The sequence below is a fragment of the Homo sapiens genome, chromosome 5, assembly GCF_000001405.40.
Source record: "Homo sapiens chromosome 5, GRCh38.p14 Primary Assembly".
Lineage (NCBI taxonomy): Eukaryota > Metazoa > Chordata > Mammalia > Primates > Hominidae > Homo > Homo sapiens.
Genome location: NC_000005.10, coordinates 172,932,854 through 172,953,134, shown reverse-complemented (window position 1 = coordinate 172,953,134; position 20,281 = coordinate 172,932,854). Strand labels below are relative to the sequence as shown.

Sequence of the window (20,281 nt, the reverse complement as noted above, 5' to 3'; positions counted from 1 at the left end):
GGGGGTTTCACTTTTTTTTTTTTTTGAGATGGAGTCTCGCTCTGTCGCCCAGGCTGGAGTGCAGTGGCACGATCTCGGCTCACTGCAAGCTCTGCCTTCTGGGTTCATGCCATTCTCCTGCCTCAGCCTCTGGAGTAGCTGGGACTACAGGCGCCCGCCACCACACCTGGCTCATTTTTTGTATTTTTAGTAGAGACGGGGTTTCTCCATGTTAGCCAGGATGGTCTCGATCTCCTGACCTCCTGATTGGCCCACCTCGGCCTCCCAAAGTGCTGGGATTACAGGCGTGAGCCACCGTGCCTGGCCGGGGTTTGACTTTCTGATCATCCTCACAGATCTCCTTTTCAACTCTTCTACCTTCTCTCCTCTAGAAGTGAATTCCATTCTGGCTGTGATTCCAGCCTTTGGGTCACCCAGCCCCAGTCAAGGTAGAAAGAATCACACCATAATATTTCTGAAAATCAGCCTTTTAATCTAGTTGAACCCAACGAGTGGGGAAAGAACTAAAACATTTTTTTCCCTTCAGATTTTGATTATAAGAATAACGGGTCAGAGGTGTCTCTTCCATAGGAAACTGACATCCCCTATGTCCTCAGAGTTGTTTTTTTTTTTTTCTTCAAAAAAATGCATAAAAGAATTTCAACTCATGTGCATGCCACACATTTCCATCCCCACCCCACCCTGCCCCACCCTCTACAGGCACACATATTCACACACCAAAGGGACTCCTTCCTGTAACTGGGGAACAGAATGTAAAAAAATCCATCCAAGTGGCCACCGATACCAGAAATAACCAAATGCATTTACACTCACAACATCAGTCAACTCACATGCACAAGGAGAAGCGTCTCCAATCGGAGCTTAGAGCCAAAAATTACAAATGGCAGAGACTTGAGCTATCCATAAGATAATTTTAAAAATCCTTCCACTGGACACTCCCCTTCATTACAAAAGTATGCAAACAATCTTGCTATAAATGGAAAACAGGCGTGTGGCTCTCTCCCTGGGACATGAGGGCATAGCTAAAATTCCCTGGGTGGAATTAATGCCTGGACCATTGCTCCTCCCTTTCAGGACAAAAGGGAAAGGATGAAGAGGAGCAGCAGGGTAGGGACCCACCTCAGGAGCAGGTGGGGCACCCTGGAGCTGCCTCAGGGGCTGGGAACGTGTTGGCATGTGACCAGCTGATGGAGGAGCACAGTGTCAAGTGGGCCACGATGGCTGTAGAGAAACCCAAGTGCTCTGCACCCGTAGGGAGTCCAGAAGGTAGAGGTCCACGGACAGGACAGGCCTGGCCTGCTTTGCTTCCTCCACCTAAGGCCTTGGGACCGATGGCGTCCGTCTGAGAGGCTGCATGATTATTTTAGGGTTGCAGGAAGGATGCTTCCCATCTGGACGTAAGTGCACAAACCATGTCTATCTGGATCTCAAAAGATGACTTCCCCTTTACACAACCCCCACTCCCTGCCACTGCAGATCCCAGCAGAGTGGTGGGAGATCTTGGCAGTGGGAACCAGAATGCTGTTGCCACACAGCACACAGGCTGAGGCACATTGGTGGAGGGTTCAGAGGAACGAGGAGAAGAGAGGAAGAGGAATCTGTGACCCGCCTTGTGACTGGTGGGCAGATTCAAGTCTCTACCGCTGCTGCTGAGCAACTGGGCATCTGCTTCTTGGAAGAACAAGAAAGGGGTGGGGTAAAGACTTGAGGCCTGGGTTCTAGGTTGGGCAGGAAGGGATGGGGCAGAAGTCAGGGTTCCATCTATAGTGACAAATCATAGGGGCTTGCTTGGGAAGTACCATCTTTCGTGGAAGGTGCCGGGTGTATAAAGGAGTACCTTTGGGCAGCCTGGTCCCAAAGCTGAAAGCCCAGGTCTGGTGCCTCTGGGGCAGGTTGGCTGCCCAGGGGAGAAACCAAATCATTAATGTGTCCACCTAGTGGGGGCTGCGAGATTGTCGAAGCCTGGCTGAGAGCTGATCGATATGCATTCTGGGATGTTCCCCTGAGGGAAGAGACTGCAGCTCTCCTAGGAGGGGTCCCCAAGATCCCTGGACTCCCCACCCCTTGCCTGACTCTGTTCTTGGGGCTCCCCAGGGAAAGGGGAACTGCAACTTCAGGCAGTGTAATTTGTCTAAAAAGAAACACGGGGAAAAGAGGTAGCTGCAAAACATCGAGCCATCCTCTACTTTCCCCCCACTTCCCACACACCCTTTGGGACACAGCCAGATTTGGGACCAGATTGAGGGCCAAAGGAGACAGGGCACTGGAGGCAAGGCTGGCGATGCCCAGGGTCCTCGGCCATTAGGCTGGGTGTGGCGTCAATGCATCTTGCCCAGCTGGATCTTCTTCCAGGCCTCAGAGGCTGTGAAGATGCATGAGTCCAGGATGCCGGCGACGGTGAAGGTCCCGCCAATGATGGCACAGATCTGCAAGAGGGCAGGGGTGGGGTGGGAGTGTCAGAAGTCAGTGCTGGAGGATGAACCAGGCCAGACCCCTCCCACATCATGAGATGATGGGCTCTGCAAGGCAGACATTGCCCGTTAAGCCCATAATACCCACTACATAGTCACCAAGTCCGGAACATACTTAGGGCTCAAAGAAAACCAGTTGTTGGATGGTGGATTTAATAATAATAAAATAATTTTCACCATTATGAGCTCCTTTAATTCCCATATTCACCCTCTGAATGAGGAAGGGAATTATTAGACCCATTTCACAGCGGAGGAAACTGAGGTTCATCAGGTGACTTGCCTAAGTTCACCACTAGCAGAGATGCAACTTGAACACAGGTACGTCTTAACTCTGGAGCCTGTGGTCTTAACCTCAACTCTGAATTTATCACATATTTACAATCCCATTTGCAGATGAAGGAAATGGAGGTTCTGAAAGGCAGTCCCAGGGGCCCAAGGTCACACAGCCAAGAAATGGCATCCTGGGACTTGATGGGTAGTAAGCAAATAATCATACCAATAAATGCAAAATTATAGCCAAGGCAAGTGCTACAAAGGACAGAGAGGCCTTTGGTGCTACCAGAAAGCTTCTATTAGAGCAAGGTTTCTTTTTCTTTTTCTTTTTTTTCTGTCTTCCAGGCTGGAGTGCAGTGGCGTGATCTCAGCTCACTGCAAGCTCCGCCTCCCGGGTTCACGGCATTCTCCTGCCTCAGCCTCCCGAGTAGCTGGGACTACAGCTGCCTGCCACCGCGCCTGGCTAATTTTTTGTATTTTTAGTAGAGACAGGGTGGGGGTGTTTCACCGTGTTAGCCAGGATGGTCTTGATCTCCTGACCTCGTGCTCCACCCGCCTCGGCCTCCCAAAGTGCTGGGATTACAAGCATGAGCCACTGTGCCTGGCCAGGGCAAGGTTTCTAATGGCACCATTGACATTTGGGGCCAGAGAATTTTTTGCCACAGGGGCTGTCCTTTGCAGAAGGATTTAGCATCCCTGGCCTCTACCCAGGAGATGCCAATCATACCCCCCCCCGCCACGCTGTGACAACCACAATGTCTCCAAACATTGCCAAATGTCCCCAGATGTCAAAATTGCCCCTGGTTGAGAATGGCGGTAGCAGGAGGATAATGAATGTCACCTGTTATGTCTGTACTTCATAACTGTCTGCCACATCATAATATACTAACCACAACAAAATACACAGTACTTACACAGCACCTTCCCTGGGCCAGGTGGGTTACAGTGCTCCATGCCTACCACCCCAGTGAATCCCCAGCTCAACCCTAGGCAGTAGGTACTATTCTTAGACTATTTCACAGCCAAGGAAACTGAGGCACAGAGACCCTGAATCCCTCGTCCAATGCCACAGCAAGTGGCTGAATAGGGGTTCAAAACTTTGGAGTCTGTGCTCTTAATGTGACACCCTGTTGCTTCTCAGGCACAAAACACCCACCTGATTGAATCACAAAGCTTTGCAGTTGTCAGAACACCATTTGGGACTAATCAAACTAATGTTATGTTTTACTCAAAATGTTATGGCCTACAAATTGCCTTCTGATGACTTCAGAGAATCAAAGCATGGATGATGGAAGACAAATGAAGTTCACAGAAGGTTTGCAAGGAAACTTATTTGTAGGGACAGGGTCTCACTCTGTCACCCAGGCTGCAGTGTAGTGGGTGATCATAGCTCACCACAGACCCCAACTCCCAGGTTCAAGTGATTCTCCTGCCTCAGCCTCCGGGGTAGCCAGGATTACAGGTGATGCCACCATGCCTGGCTAATTTTTTTTAATTTTTAATTTGTAGAGGTGAGGTCTCGCTATGTTGCCCAGGCTGGTCTCGAACTCCTGGACTCAAGTGATCCATCTGTCTCAGCCCCCCAAAGTGCTAGGATTACAGGCATGAACCACTGTTCCAGACCTTGCAAGAAAACTTTAAGCATATTTTCCTCTTGAGCATCTACTTTATGTCATTTATAAGAACCAACACCTCCCATCCTAGGAGCAGCCATAGGCCTCGGAGCAGCAGGAGCCCTACAGCCCATGAAGGAGATGCCTCTTCACTGAGGTACCCATGGGGTACAGAGAGGGAAGTAACTTGTCCGAGGTCACACAGTGCATGTGGCACTCACTCTTTCCCCCATGCCACATTTAAGGGGCATTTAAATGACCACAGGACTCAGAAGAAATAAACAGTTGTGTGGCCCCAGAGGACATTAGCAGCCCCAGAGGCACCACAGGTGGACGGCCAGCTACTGACCTGCAACCTGTGGGGAACTCTGGGAGCCAAGAACACCTTAATAGATGAACTGGTGCCCAGTGGTGGGAGGCTGGGAGACATAGCAAAGGCGAGAGGGAAGTGCGAATCAAACCAGTGTTTATTTTTTTAAATGATATTTCCATGAGATGAGCTAAGCGGGGGCCTGTGAGGCCCAGGATGGACAGACCAGGTCTGTATGGATGGGTGGCAGGGTAGCAGCTGGTCCTCCAGTAATAACAGCCCAGGAAACCGGAGCGGCCCCCCAGGGAGTGGAGAGGACTGGGGGCGCTGGGGGGATTATGGTGAAGTGTTTTAAGTGGGCAAGGCCCCTCCCTGCCGGCCTCAGAACATGACGCAGGGGGACTTTTCAGGGAAGATGACGGCAGGGGAGCTGGTTTATTTCGGTAGAGTGGATCAGATGATGGGAGATTTTATACCACAAAACGCTTTTAGAGCTTGGATCAGAAGATAGGAAAATGTGACTTACGTGCAATGAAGCAAAAAATAAAAAATAACCACACACACACACACACACACACACACACACACACAAAACACATCTGTATTCATCTACACACAATTTGGAACCCAAATGCTTATGACTCACAGACACCTGGCACCCAGTCTCAACTCTCCTTTCATGGGGCTGGCCCAGACCAGAGGGAGACAATGTGTGTATTGAGGTACACAGGAAAGCACATCGCCTGAGGGGAAACTGAGGCCCTGGGGCATGGAAACTGCTATGCAACTGGCTCAGTCACAGGGTGAGTGACTGCAAGCCTGAAGGCTAAGGGGGAACCCTGAGGCAGACTACCTATGAGTATCTACTGATTTTGCTCAACGTGCCCCCATCACCCCGCATCTGTTGAAGGGGCTGGTCACTGTTCACTTGAGGAGGTGAGGGGAGGGGAAATCCTCACACATTCCAGGGGGGTTTCCTCAAAGCTGAGATAACTCAGCTGGGCACAGTGGCTCATGCCTGTCATCTCAGCACTTCGGGAGATGGAAGGGTTGCTTGAGTCCAGGAGCTTGAGCCCATCCTGGGCAAAACAGTGAGATCCCCATCTCTACAAAAAATAAAAAAATTGGACAGGTGTGGTGGCTGTAGTCCCAGCTACTCTGGAGGCTGAGGCTGAGGATCATTTGAGCCCAGGAGGTCAAGCCTGCAGTGAGCTATGATTGCACCACTGCACTCCAGCCTAGGTGACAGAGCAAGATCATGTCTTTCTTTTTTTTTTTTTTTTTGAGATTGAGTCTCACTCTTGTCGCCCAGATTGGAGTGCAATGGGGTGACCTCGGCTCACTGCAACCTCCACTCCTGAGTTCAAGTGATTCTCCTGCCTCAGCCTCCCAAGTAGCTGGGATTACAGGTGCCCACCACCATGCCCAGCTAATTTTTGTATTTTTAGTAAAGACTGGGTTTTACCATGTTGGCCAGGATAGTCTCGAACCCCTGACCTCAAGTGATCTGCCTGCCTCGGCCTCCCCAAAGTGGTGGGATTACAGGTGTGAGCCACCATGCCTGGCCCCGTGACTTAAAAAAAAAAAAAATGCTGAGAGAACTCTAGTGGCCAGGCCCACATTGCCACGGCCCTGCTTTCATTATTTTATCTCTCATCCTTCAGGCCTCCCTGACACACTGGCAGTCAGTAGGAGGTGACTGGCATGAGGTGACGTAGAGTCACAGGAGAGGGTTCTGGTGCTCCCAGGACTGGCACTTCCTGGATTCTGACATATGGAAAGATTCAGAAATGCCCAGTGCCAGGGCGTTCTCACACCTGAACTCGCTCAGGGAAGTGGCTGGTCATGGCTGTCCCTCGTCTTAGAAGGTCACCATACCTTCTGGAACATGGGGAGATGCAGCCACAAGGCTGTGCCAGGTGGTGTGTCTGCCTTGGAATTCAGGCCCTACATGGGCGGCAGCAAGATGACAGGCTTTGCCATTTAGGATTCCTGGGATGATGTGGGAACAATGGGATCCAACAGCAGATATTCTGAAGCTGGAGGAGATGCTGGCGGGATCTCAGGAACTCACGGAGGGGAGGGCAGGGGTGCCGCTGGCAGGAGGGAAGACGCTGATTGGCATTTCCCTGGGCTGTGGGGATGGGGCCTGGGAGGAACACTAATGAATGAAACTGAAAAGAAAGCAAATTGCAGTCGTGACACTTAGTTCCCACAGCCTGTTGCTGTTCACACAGAGGAGCGAGGAGAGCTGGGCCTCTCCAGGGGAGTCCAGGACAAAGCTGGGGCTGGGAGGTGTGCACCTCCCTGCTGGACATGGTGAGGGTGGCATGAGGTGAGGGCTGGGGAGTCCACCCGGCTTTCCTGCCATGGCAGCAGAGAGCACCCAGCCTTTGGAGGCTGCATCGTGGCATCACTTACTAATTCTAGCCGTGGGAGAGCCTTTCTGGGCCTCAGTTTCTTCATCTATAAAACAGGAAAGCCAGCCGGGTGCAGTGGCTCATGCCTGCAACCCCTGCACTTTGGGAGGCCAAGGTAGGAGGATCACGTGAACTCAGGAGATTGCGACCAACCTGGTCACTTGGTGAAACCCTGTTTTTACTGAAAATACGAAAATTAGCTGGGCATGGTGGCAGGTGCCTGTAATCCCAGCTACTCGGGAGGCTGATGCATGAGAATTGCTTGAACCTGGGAAGTGGAGGTTGCAGTGAGTCGAGATTCAGCCACTGCACTCCAGGCGAGGTCACAGAGCAAGACTCTGTTGCCAAAATAAATACATAAAAATAAAAATAAAACGACAAAACCCCTGCGGCTCTACTGAAAATACATCTGGAGCACCTAGCACCTAGTAGATGCTCAGTAAATGAAACCTGATCTTAATCTTTCAGTTCACTGGAAGGCTCTAACCTTATGGCCAAGAAATGGGATTGTCTCAACCTGAGACCCACTTTAACCAGAAAAATCAGTAAAATATTACTTATTCCCCAGAGCACGCCTTTGGGTCTCAACTTCCATTCTCTCTCTGGCACTTTTAGCAGAAGGCAAGACGAGTCATACAGGAACAGGACCGCAAGAGTGTCCCAGCACCGCAGGCAGATTCTTTGTGGCCGCTGGGGGCCCACGCACTCTAAGGGCCCTCTGAAGTTACACAGCAACCCATTCAACAGAACAGGTAGCTGAGGCCCAGACAGGGTGTCCTGTTCCCTCAGGCAGTTGCCAAGATGTGTTTGTGATGAAGAACATCCTTGTGGGGCAAAGCACCTTAGGCCAGAGGTGGGTTCCATCCTTTGGCCAGTGAGGGAGCTCCCTGAATCTCACCACCTCAAGCCTATTGGGAAAACTCTCATTTTCCTGAATGCCCAAGGGAGAGAAGATAGCAGACACAACTGACCACATGGGAGGTGCACAAGACGTGTTTGTTGAATAAATAAAGGAGTGAGAGAAAGAATGAGGAGCCAATGGGTGGGTTCCAGAGTGAGGGAATGAATGACTACTCAGGAAAGGCACAGGGTTCCACACCCAAGGCAGCGGCAAAGGTGACTCGCTCAGGGGTGTCAGCCGGGGGCGTGGGGAAGGCAGTGCTGATGAAAAGGTGGGCCTGGAGGGGGAGACCCTGGATGGGGCAGGCAGCAGGTGCCCCTCTCCACTAAGTTGCTGTGCCTGGAGACCCTGCACCTGGAAAGCGATGCCATAGAGGGCCTGGGCTTTGGAGGCTGGCAGAATTGGCTTGGACTCCTCTCATCCATGTGCTCTTGTGCCACCCTAGCTCCCAGTGCCTCAGTTTTCTGGCTTTTAAAAATGGGAAGACTGGCCGGGTGCGGCGGCTCACGCCTGTAATCCCAGCACTTTGGGAGGCCGAGGTGGGTGGATCACCTGAGGTGGGGAGTTCGAGACCAGCCTGGCCAACAAGGCGAAACCCTGTCTCTACTAAAAATACAAAAATTAGCTGAGCGTGGTGGCAGGTGCCTGTAATCCTAGCTACTCAGGAGGCTGAGGCAGGAGAATTGCTTGAACTCAGAAGGTGGAGGTTGCAGTGAGCCAAGATCGTGCCACTGCACACCAGCCTGGGCAACAAGAGTGAAACTCCGTCTCAGAAAAAAAAAAAAAGGAAGACTAATCCTCACCCCCTAGGACTGTGGTGGCATTGACTGAGAGTGGCTTGGTCCCTTGCCACTGCCACGCTCTTGTATCTCCCAACCAGGCCTCAAGGCTCAGAGACAACCTAGGGTGGGATCTTCCCCGTCGGGGATGAGGGAGCAGGGTCACTGAGCCAGGGAGGGCCACCTCGGCCAGTGCATGCACCACTGCTCTGGGCAGCAGCCACAGCTCCAGAAACAAAAACAAGGACAATTCAATACCTGGGCCCCAGTGAGTCTGAGGGCAGTGCAGGAAGTGGCATTCATCAGACGTCATCCGATAATGCCCCTCTGTTCCCACCAGCAACTTCCTCCCAGGGGTCCCGTCAGCTTCTTGGCCTTCCACTGTGACTAGAATGAAGTCAGCTTGTCTACCTTTAAAAGGGGTGCGTGTGTGTTTCCCTTACATTTTCATTATGGTTCTTAATTCCTTATAATATGAGAAGGATGTGTTCCAGCCGCACTGGAGCGGGAACTAAATGCCTGTTTTTCCACCAGCACGAACGCCTTCCCAGTGCATCATTACTCCCCTCCCCATTACTCTCCCATAGCGTGCAATGGAGAAGCACCATACACACCGCCGTGGGAGGCGAGATTGTGGGCTTTGGAGTAAACACTCCTGCGGTCCAATCCCAGCTCTGTGGCCCTGGCTGGGAAAGCCAGTTTACCTCTCTGAGCCTCAGTTGCCCCATCTGTAGAATGGGGCCCACTGCAGGGACCGGGATGACACTGTCCAGCTGCCTGCTGTACCCTAAGTGCCCAGGAACTGTTCAGTCACTTTCCCCGTTCAGTCAGCACTGCTTTAAAAGCGTGTGGAGGAGGCGCCGCATGAGGAAATAAATAATGAATTGGAGTCTCATCAGGCTCCAGCAGCGGCAGACAGGCTGGAGCCGGGGATGAGAACACCAAAGTCGTGGAGGAGGCAGAGGTGGGGGGTGTAGTCGGGGAAGGGAAGTGGTTGACTGGGCCCTGGAAAGGCTGGGGGTGGGGGAGGAGAGCGTGTGGTATCAGGCCTTCCAGAGCTCCGGGGGCCTGGGGAGAGGCCTCCCGCTGACATTTTTACAATTCCTATGGGCTGCAAAATACCCATCCACCCCACCTCGCAAGAACCTCACTTTGGTTGAGCACCTATTATGTGCTGGGTCTGAGATGGCACCTTCTCCTCTTTTCTCATTCAATCCTTGCCACTGCTAGGTGACCCTCATTTCACAGACAAGGACACAGAGGGTCAGAGAGGGAATGACTTGTCCACAGTCACAGGGCTACCGAGTAAGCAAGGATCACTAGAAGCCAGGTTTGGGAGGCTGCAAAGGGCCTGCTTTTTCTGTTAGCCCACCTGCCCTCATTCCCAGCCGGAAGACTCTTCCTAGCCCCTCTCTTCATGTACAGATAGCTTCCATGCAGGGAATCTGTCTTCTCAATTCTGTTAAGGTTTACGTAGCAAATATCCTGACCTAAGGGGTCCCCGTCAGCAAAGTGTTGGAAGTCAGAAGCTCTGCAACTATAAAAACCAGCCTGGTGTGCAAAATGGAGCCCACTCGGTCTCACGTTCCTCTTCCGCCTCCGAACCTGCTCTGGGAACGCACGCGCCAGGAGGCCCCTCTCTGTACAGACCCAGTTTGGAGCAATCTGTCTCTGGAACACCTTCTTGAAGATCTAGTTCAGCTTGGAATACCACGGAAGGATCTGAACTGAAGCGTTTTGCACATTTCCAGACCTGAATCACCAAGCTCCTAATATGGGTTCTGTTCTGTCCCTCCAATAACAGAAATCTTCTTGGTTGGGGGTGGACCAAGGTGTACACCTCTCCTTCTATGTGCTCATTGTTTGACACCTATTTATTACCCACATTGATGCACTGGATCTGGAGACCAGAGATGACTAAACCTGGAGCTCGTGGAGCTTCCCTGGTGCTTGTGGTCCAGGGAAGAGAGACACCGAGGGAACCCTGAGCAGGGTAGCGGGGGCAGAGAGGAGAGAACCGAGGCGGCATATGGGAGCTGGGAAGGCTCTCCTGCCACCCCAGGGCCAAGATGGTCATTTTTCCAACTCACATCATCTTAGTGGGTAGAACCTTCTCAGTTTGAAGTTTGTCTCTTGTCAATTCTTTTTTTTATTTTTTATTATTATTATTTTTTGAGACGGAGTCTTGCTCTGTCGCCCAGGCTAGAGTGCAATGGCACGATCTCGGCTCACTGCAACCTCCTGGTTCAAGCGATTCTCCTGCCTCAGCGTCCCACGTAGTTGAGATTAAAGGTGTGCACCACCACGCCTGGCTAAGTTTTGTATTTTTAGTAGAGACGGGGTTTCACCATGTTAGGCTGGTCTCAAACTCCTGACCTTGTGATCCGCCCACCTCGGCCTCCCAAAGTGCTGGGATTACAGGCGTGAGCCACTGCGCCCGGCCTTGTCAATTCTTCTTAATGCCCCTGCCCTCTTCCCTGCCCCCAGCACTTGCTGCCTTAGTTTCTGGCAAATGTTTGCAGAAGCCTAAACAGGTGAACAAAAGGTGTTAGATATGGGCAGGAAAACTTGCAAACTATCAGCCAATCTGCCTTAGATGGACGTCGGCTTTTTTAATGGTTTGTGTGAAGCTGTGATTTCACCATGCATATTCACAATAAAACTTTGTTTCCTGCTCTAATAGTTCTTCCTGATTCTCAGGATGAAAGTCACTGTATCAAATGATCCTGATGTCTGTCCTACCAAGAGTTCTATGACTTCTGGGGGCTTTGTTGCTGCAACACCCCTGACAGCCCTTGTTTTGGAAGATAGAGGCTCCTGAGACAGTGCTGGGGGTAGGGGATGTTGCAGAGGCAGGCACTGGGGTCAGGTCCGAGCCTTGCCATTTACTGGCTGTGAGATCTTGGATGAGTTTTTTCACCTCTCTGAGCCTCAGTTTAATCCATTTATAAAACAGGAACAAAATCATCTACCTTGAGAGGTTGCTGGGGGGGCTAAAAGAGGTAACTATGTAATTACTTGGCACATAGTAGGTGCTTAATAAGGGTAGCTATATGATCACTTTTTTCCCTCATCCTGTCTGGCTAGGGAAAATATGATCACCTTTTTTTTTTTCTTTTTTGAGACAGAGCTGGAGTGCAGTGGCACGATCTTGGCTTACTGCCAAGATCTCCTGTCTCAGCCTCCAACTGCCTCAGCCTCCACAGTAGCTGGGACTACAGGCGTGCTACCTGGCTATTTTTTGTATTTTTAGTAGAGACAAAGTTTCGCCATGTTGGCCAGGCTGGTCTTGAACTCTTAGCCTCAGGAGATCTGCCCACCTTGGCCTCCCAAAGTGCTGGAATTACAGGTGTAAGCCACCGCGCCCAGCTGAAAATATGATCACTTCTTTAGGCAGCTGCCTCTTACACATTTCTGAGCACCTGTGTCCAGGTCAGGCCCTTCACTGGATGCTGGGGACACAGGTAAGTCAGACGCGGAGGTCATCATCAGGCCTGACAACCATGCAGGGCAATCTAAAGTCTGGGGGATTAGTCCCCAGGTTAGAAAGCATGAAAGAGGGCAGCAGAGAGGAACGTCTGTGGGTGAGGCTCCCTGTAGCAACTCTCCCTCATACCCAGGTTAAGCCCTGGCCAAGGGCCCTGAGCACCACTTGAGTTAAGGGAGCTGCGCAACTCTCCAAGAATGACAGGTTTTGAGTAGCACGCAATGGGAGGGTGTCATCGCCATCCGGTACTTCTTGGTGGGCAAAAACCATCCCGGTCATACTGGCCCAACTGGCACTTTGTGACTTCTGGCTGTTCCTCCAAAATAAAATAAACCATGCAAGGAAAGAGATCTGACACCTCTGAAGCCCTCCAGTCTGTCACCACAACCCACTTGAAGGCAATCTCAATCTCAAAAAGGGAGCTACAGCAAGTGGCACAGGACAAATGTGTGTGTGGGAGGGGAGCACTTTGGAGGGGATTACTTGCATGTCGTCAAACACAATCTGTTTATTCCCTTGGCGCTGGAATGTTCTAATATAGCACAGAGCATCGCTCTGAGCAAGGTGCCCCACGTGCCGAGAGAGAGAAGCTCCAAGAAGCCTGGCTAAAGACTTCCAGGAGGAAAAACTGTTGTAGGCTAGGGATAAACAAGCCCTTTTGGGACAATGAGACCCTGGAGGGGGCAACCTGGAAGCAGCCAGGTACTAAACACTTGGCAATGCATCTGGGAGGCCCCATCTGCCTCTACCCTCCCTCCCTCCAGCCCACCCACAGCTGCCTCCCAGCCCCGCAGCCGCCACATGACGACATCCCGACCTAAGCCCCTCTTCATCTGCAGCCCCTCTAAGGAGCTATTTGCAGAGGCCCCCATTTGCCGTTTAGGGGCTTTGCACGCAAGTGTTTGATTTTTAAAAAGAGAGAAAGAGAAGCCACAGCAGGTGCCTCCACTTCCATCCTGGCCCCACCCCGCCCTCCGAGGGCTCCCAGGGATCTTTGTGCCGTGTGTGTACGTGTGTGTCTGAGTGCTGGCGTCATCCCCACATCTGCTGCCCTGTGACAAGGGCCTTTGAAGCTCCACAATGACGCCATCTGCCAGGGACAGCCGGCCGGCTGGCTCCTTCAGAGCTGACCCCACGGTTACCATGGCAACCAAGGTGGTGGCACAGGGCCTTCAGAAGAACCACCAGGCTAATGATGTCAGGAGGTTCCCTGCAGCAGTGTGGCCCACAAGCCCAGGGCTTTGCCAGCCCACGCTTGAGCAGAGGTGGATGGGGCAGAAATGGAGGACAGGCTGGTGGCCAAGGACAGGAAGAGAAGGAGGAGTCATAGAGGCATTGGGTCTCTGACGAAGGAAGGGTCTTCCCCGTGGCTTCTTGGAGCCTCCTGCTCTCAGAAGGTCAGCGGCTCACTGGGGAGTTTGTCACCTGCCAAAGGGGGTGGCATGGACTTCATACGACATGTTATACTGGGCGCCTCTGCGCATAGCATTCCCTTTCCCGGGCCCTTCCTCCTCAGCTCAAGGCCCATCACAGGGTTCTATTCTTAGAGCTTCCCAAACAAAGGGGATGGCGCCCTCTTGTTTGCCTGCAGTGTCTGGCGCACATCTCCACTAGAGCCGGTCACAGCTCCCTGTGCTCACTCATCTGCCCCTCCAGCAGGGGGCTCCTTCAAGGCAGGGACTGCGTATGATTCAGCTGACCCTGGTGCCTGCTACGGGGGCCGGAACATAGTGAATTCTAGCAAATGTTAAGTGAATAAATGAAGTTGCTTCATTTCTCAGCCACTTGCCAAGTGATTTCTTTTTTCTTTTTTTTTTTGAGATGGAGTCTCACTCTATCGCCCAGACCCGAGTGCAGTGGCGTGATCTCGGCTCACTGCAACCTCTGTCTGCCAGGTTCAAGCAATTCTCCTGCCTCACCCTCCCAAGTAGCTGGGACTACAAGCATGTGCCACCATGCCCGGCTAATTTTTTGTACTTTTAGTGGAGATGGGGTTTCACAATGTTGGTCAGGCTGGTCTCAAACTCCCGACCTGGTGATCCGCCCGCCTCAGCCTCCCAAAGTGTTGGGATTACAGGCGTGAGCCACCGTGCCCGGCCGATTTCTTTTTTTTTTTCTTTTTTTTTTTGAGATAGAGTCTCGCTCTGGTACCCAGGCTGGAGTGCAGTGGCATCAGCTCAGCTCACTGCAACGTCCGCCTTCTGGGTTTCAAGGGATTCTCCGGCCTCAGCCTCCCGAGTAGCTGGGACTACAAGTGCCCACCCCCATGCTCAGCTAATTTTTGTATTTTAACTAGAGACGAGGTTTTGCCATGTTGGCCAGGCTGGTCTTGAACTCCTGACCTCAAGTGATCCCCCGCCTCGGCCTCCCAAAGTGCTGGGATTACAGGCATAAGCCACCGTGCCCGGCCATTGCCAAATGATTGTAATGCCCAGAGTCTCAGCTGCTTTCCATACAGGAGCAAACAGAAACGGGGACAGAAAAGAGCCTTCTGAACCCTACTGTGAGGCATGGCTGGAGGGGGTTTCTCTGCTATAGTCAATGTACAGACCCTAGGGCCTCTGAGGAGTGGTCTAGACCTTCATGGAGGCACCAGGGAACCTACTTGTATCTTTGTGTGTGGCTTATCGTGGGTGTGGAGTAGGAGAGCTGCAGTAAGAATCAGCACCAAGACCCACTTGGGGTGTGCTACCCTGCGGGGTCTTGGGTTAAATCATTTGCTCACAAATCCCCTGATTTTTTGGGTCCTGGGGTTTGTGCATCTCCCCTCAGGGTAGCTGTACCCATGTCCCTGCACACCAATAGCACATGTGGGTTCCCAGGGCTTCACATCTTCCCAATCTTTGTAGTAGCAGGTTTTCAATTTCTTTCTTTTTTTTTTTTGAGACGGAGTCTCACTCTGTTGCCCAGGCTGGAGTGCACTGGAGTGATCCTGGCTCACCGCAACCTCTCCCTCCCAGGTTCAAGTAATTCTCCCACCTCAGCCTCCCAAGTAGCTGGGATTACAGGCGCCCACCACCATGCCCCGCTAATTTTTGTATTTTTAGTAGTGTTTTGTCATGTTGGCTAGGCTGGTCTTGAACTCCTGACCTCAGGTGATCTGCCCGCCTCGGCCTCCCAAAGTCCTGGAATTACAGGTGTGAGCCGGGCAAGTTTTCAATTTCTGTCAGTCCAATAGGATTCAACTGGGTCTTTTAATTTTTTTATTTTTCTGAGACCGGGTCTCACTGTTGCCCAGGCTGGAGGGCAGTGGCGCCATCATGGCCCACTGCAGTGTCAACCTCCCACGCTCAAGCAATCCTCCCACCTCAGCCTCCCAACTAGCTGAAACTACAGGCATGCACCACTATGTCTAGCTAATTTTTTAACTTTTCTTTTGTAGGGAGGGGGTCTTGCTGCGGTGACCAGGCTGGTTTCAAACTCCTGGCCTCAAGTCATCCTCCTGCTTCCACCTCCCAGAGTGCTGGGATTACAGGTGTGAGCTACCACGTCTGGCCTGAATTGAGTCTTGTTTTAAATCCCATCCCTCCAATTTCTAGTGAACTTGGGCATCTTTTCACTGCCAATATCACCTCCTCTGTGAAGAGCTGGTCCTTGGCCTTGTCTGCTTTTTTGGTTGTTAACTTTTTCTTACTGATCTGTAGGAGTTCTTTACATATGAATTCTGAAGGCTACCCCTTTCCCATTTGGATGGCAAGTATCTTTTCCCAGGCTGCGTGTGAGATTTTTGCTTTATGTTATGTGCCGTTTGTTGAACAGGAGTTTCTAACTTTTATGTGGTCAAAGAGAACAGCAAAAAACTGTTCTGAGGCTCATGTAAGCACCAGACTTATGACACCCTTTGTATCTCTCTGTCTGTTTTCTGGGGATTTTTGTTTTTTAGAGAAAGGGTCTCGCTCTGTTGCCCAGGCTAGAGTGAAGTGGCACGATCATGACTCACTCTAACCTTAAAATCCTGGGCTCAAGTGATCCTCTCACCTCAGCCTCCTAAGTAGCTGGGACTACAGGTGCATATACCACCGTATCCAGCTAATTTAAGAAGATTCTTAGAGACAAGCCTTCACAATGTTGCCCAGGCTGGTTTCAAACTCCTGGCCTCAAGCGATCCTCCCGCCTCAGCCTCCCAAACTGCTGGGACTACAAGTGTGAGCCACTGTGCCCCGTCCTACTTGGCTTTTCACATCTGCAAACAGCTTCTCCTTTCACAATCTCCTCTGAGTCCCACAAGGCCCTGGGAGGTGGCAGGAACAGAGATGATCGTTCTTACTTCACAGATGAGAAGGCAGAGACCCTGTCACAACATCCCACTGTTCTGCCTCCTGGCACCCACTCTTTCCTCTTCCAGTAGCTGGCCCCTGCCTTTTCTCTTGAGAAACCTCATTCCTCACAATCTGTGTCCCTGCGGTTTGGATGGGGTTGACACCAGAGAGGGTACAGGGCCTAAGCCTGGCCAACCAGAGCATTTGATTTCCCAGGCCACAAGGATGGCATGAGGCCTGAGCTGGGCCAGTGAGAGCTCTGTCCTATCTAGGACTTGGTTAGAATGACTGAGAAAGAGGCCATTTCTACTGGTAAATTCTACTTGAAGATGAAGCCAGTGTAGCGGAAAGCAGATCCGAAGATAGAGACCTACTCCTGGCAATGTTGGAGGCTGGATCCAGCCATGCCTGAGGCCTTCTACTCCTCAGGCCAGCTCAAGGTCTGGTTCTGGATCTTCGGTAACAGAGTCCTGACTAATACTGACCTAGTTATTGCGGGAAATGAAAGAGCCAAGGCCCTTGATCTTGAACCATCATTACAAGCATGAAGAAGTACAGAAGCATAAGGGCCTCCCAATGCCATATTTATCTTTAGGTCTCAGTTTCCAAATCTGTGAAGTAGGGATAGCCACCCTGTCTCTTCCACCTCAGCTAACTCTGGCTTCTTCAGTACCTCCTGGGCCTCTTGGGTGAAGAAGGGCACCCTGACCCTCCTGTTCTGACCCTAAGGACCTTCTGAATGGGAGGCCAGGAAACAGTAGACATGATAGAAATAATCAGCATAAAGGAAAACTAACATCAGCTTGAATCTGCCCTAGAGAAAACTGGATGTGGTAGAGACCATGGCAAAAAAGAGAGAACAGAGAGGAAGGAAAGGGAAAAATCGGACCCTATCAGCAGCTATAACTGGAAATTAGACCTGGAAAAAAAAATGAGTTCAATCTTTGGTGCAAAATTTACACATTAAAGGATAAACTCTGCTAAGAATAATTTCCATAACAATAAAAAGCTGGAGAAAATCCTAAACATCTAGTGGAACCATATGGAGATTTGCTTCAGGAATTAAATGGATTTCAGGGCATTCCCCTCTGGAAAATACTTTCTAGACAAAACGTCATCGATACTGATGTGTTTCTGACAACATTTCTCAGCATCCTTGGGGTCGAAGCCTCCTGTGCCCAGCCAGAGCCCCTAGCCCTGCAGGCTGCCTCCTGTTTCAGCGAGAACAGGTGAGGGGTGCCAAGGAAAGGGGCCCAGAGCAGGCGCAGGGTGGCTGGCTCAGGGCCCCACCCACTGCCCCAGGCCACTCACCGTGGTGATGAATCTGTACAGCGGCTGCCGTCTCTCTGTGTACTTGACCGTGATGGGGCTGAGGTCGTAGCGGAACCAGATTGCAGGGATGATGCGGCCCGTGTGGCTGTAGGCGACGTATTCCTGGGGTAGAGGATATAAGAATCAGAAGTACAAACTGTGTCTCAGGGGGGGCGGGGACTGGATTGCAGAGGGCCCCCCAGCAACCCTCCAGAAAGGGCTTTCCTCCCTCTCTGCCCCACGAAGCCAGACTCCCCCACTCCCTCTCTCACATCCCTTCCCCTGGAGGCCCTGAACTCTGCCGTGCACAGCTGGGCATTTTTGATACCCTTGGTTGTTTAGAAATTGACCAAGTGAGCTGCAAGCAGCACCAGAATCAGAAAATAAATTAGAAAGCAGAGCTGTAAAAGGAAAAGTGCAATTTTTGGCTATTGCCTCCTTCAACCTCTGGGCCACGCGAAATCCATTCATTTATTCAACAATGGTTTGCTGAACGCCTCCACTGTGGTGGCCCATGGCTGGCTGCTGGGGACCCCGAGGTGAGCAAGTCCTGCCCTTTACCCAGAGGGAGTCGCAGTCTGCAGAAGGAGGAAGACATAAGAATATCCCTAACACTGTGACATCATGCATGTGGGATGGAGGAACATGGAGAGTTGAGGGGAATGAATGAATGACCCATTCTCCCGGGCGGCATCTGGGAGACTGGGGAGGGGACATTCTGAGCCACACATGATGAATAAGCAGGAGTCCCAGTGTGTGTGTGTGTGTGATGGGTGTAAATGCCACGTGGGGAGTGGGCTAGCTTCTTCAGAGGAATAGACTGAACTGCAAAGCCAGAAGGCCCCGCCCTGCCACCAACCTTCCTGAGAATGCACACAGCAGGGACTAAGGATACTACGAGGCTGAGCTAACAGTGCATCCTTGGGCCAGCCCCTCCCTCCCTCAGGGACTTGGCTTCCCCATCTAAACACGGATGGGCCTGGGATGATGATCCCTGGGATCTCTCCAGTTTGGGCACTTCAAGGTGCTAAAGTCTGCAACAACTGGAGGCCAAATTGAACCACTGGGGTACCCCCAACCCCACATGCTGAGCCTGAGGAGCCCAGGCCACTCCGGGGGTAAGTAACACTGAGCCCTGACCTCCCGCTGGGTCGCTGCTGCCTGCTCCCAGGGCAGAGTGCGGCTGCAGCCATAGAGAAGCTAAGCAAGCTGTATTTGGCTGCTGGGCCTTGCCAAAGCATTGGGAAAAGGAGCTTTGTGCAAGGGAAGACCAGCTTTCTCCAGGAGAGCTGCTGGGGCAGGATGACTGTCTGGGTCACAACCCAGAGCTGAGGGACAGAGAAAAAGAGTGAAAAATAGCAGCAGTCAGTATCACTTACCTAAAGGCTTTTTTTTTTTGGTGGGCTAGGCATTTTTGAAAACATTGCCTCATGTGACAGCACTCTTATAAAGTATCATCTCCATTTTATGAATGAGTAAACTGAGGCACACAGTGGCTATGTGACATGTCCGGGGTCAATAGCTAGTGAATGACTGAGCTGGAATTTGAACTGCAGCGTGGTCCTGAGCTTGCATCTGTGCTTTTCCATCTGTTAGCTGCTATGAGCATGTGAGGGTTACAATGAGATGCCCCCTGTGAAACAGTGAATAAAAGAAACAGGGGCTCCCGGGAACATCAATTTAGGGTGAGTCAGAACAGAGGGACTAAGTCATTGGACAGAGAGCAGCTCGCAGGTGGGCAGACTCACAGCCCCTTCCTCAGACCGAGGCGTGAGGTGATCAAGAAGCCAGGCTCTGGAGCCCAAGGAAAACCTGTTCTAATCCCCACTCAGCCACTTTATAGCTCTACAACCACCTCTCAGTGCCTCAATGGTCAAATCAACAAAATGGGCTCAATAACAGTCTCAACATCAGAGCTGTCATGATGATTGAGAAGACGGAAGAAGAGAGCTTAGCATGTCTAGCCCCCAGGAAGTACTCAATGAGTGACAGCTATGCCTCCTACTGTTGTTATAATTAACTGAGCTAAACAGGTATCACTTATAAGGGGTTTGGGCAGCCTTGGAACAGAAGAAAAAGGACAGTCCTGGTGGTAAGTGGGAAAAACCCATCCGCCAGGGTCTAGCAGGGGCATTTCAACCAACAGGTTTCAAGTATTCATGTCCCATTGGTGGGATACCCCCAGGGAAGCCCAAGGCTGTCTTGTCTTGAGACCACTAATTGCTGGGTCATCCCACTCTGCAGACTCTGACCATGCTCTGCTGCCCACTAAGGCCTGGCGTCTTCTCCATGACTTTGAGTGTTGGGGTCCTGGGGACACCCCTGTCAATCAACAGCAAATTAATCAACAGCCATCTTGGTGTGACTCAGTAGCCTCATGAGTTTGGGTAAAGTGCCTGTGCCCTGAGAGCAGGAGTGTCTGTCTGTGTTGAGCACCCAGGGGTCTGTGTCTGAAGG

The 20,281-nt window shown here is 51.5% G+C and overlaps 1 protein-coding gene across 3 annotated transcripts in view, besides 1 other annotated feature; it reads right to left on the bottom strand.

Moving 5' to 3' along the window:
- Nucleotides 1-451: 451 nt before the first annotated feature.
- The window catches only part of ERGIC1 (endoplasmic reticulum-golgi intermediate compartment 1), a 118,433-nt gene continuing 98,603 nt past the window's right edge, over nt 452-20,281 (bottom strand). For all 3 annotated transcript variants that reach the window (NM_001031711.3, XM_011534597.2, XM_047417411.1), the window contains 2 exons: nt 17,825-17,947; nt 452-2,426 (listed from right to left, as the gene is read on the bottom strand). In NM_001031711.3, the coding sequence (NP_001026881.1) occupies nt 2,319-2,426; nt 17,825-17,947 (231 nt within the window). In that variant the 3' untranslated portion in view covers nt 452-2,318. The remainder of the gene's footprint in view (nt 2,427-17,824; nt 17,948-20,281) is intronic.
- Nucleotides 9,607-9,778: a silencer, noted in NCBI's record as "fragment chr5:172370360-172370531 (GRCh37/hg19 assembly coordinates)". NCBI's record gives its function as "represses an EF-1alpha promoter that drives an FKBP-Casp9 reporter gene in an ReSE screen in K562 erythroleukemia cells {active_cell/tissue: K562}" and the evidence as "EXISTENCE:reporter gene assay evidence [ECO:0000049][PMID:32094911]".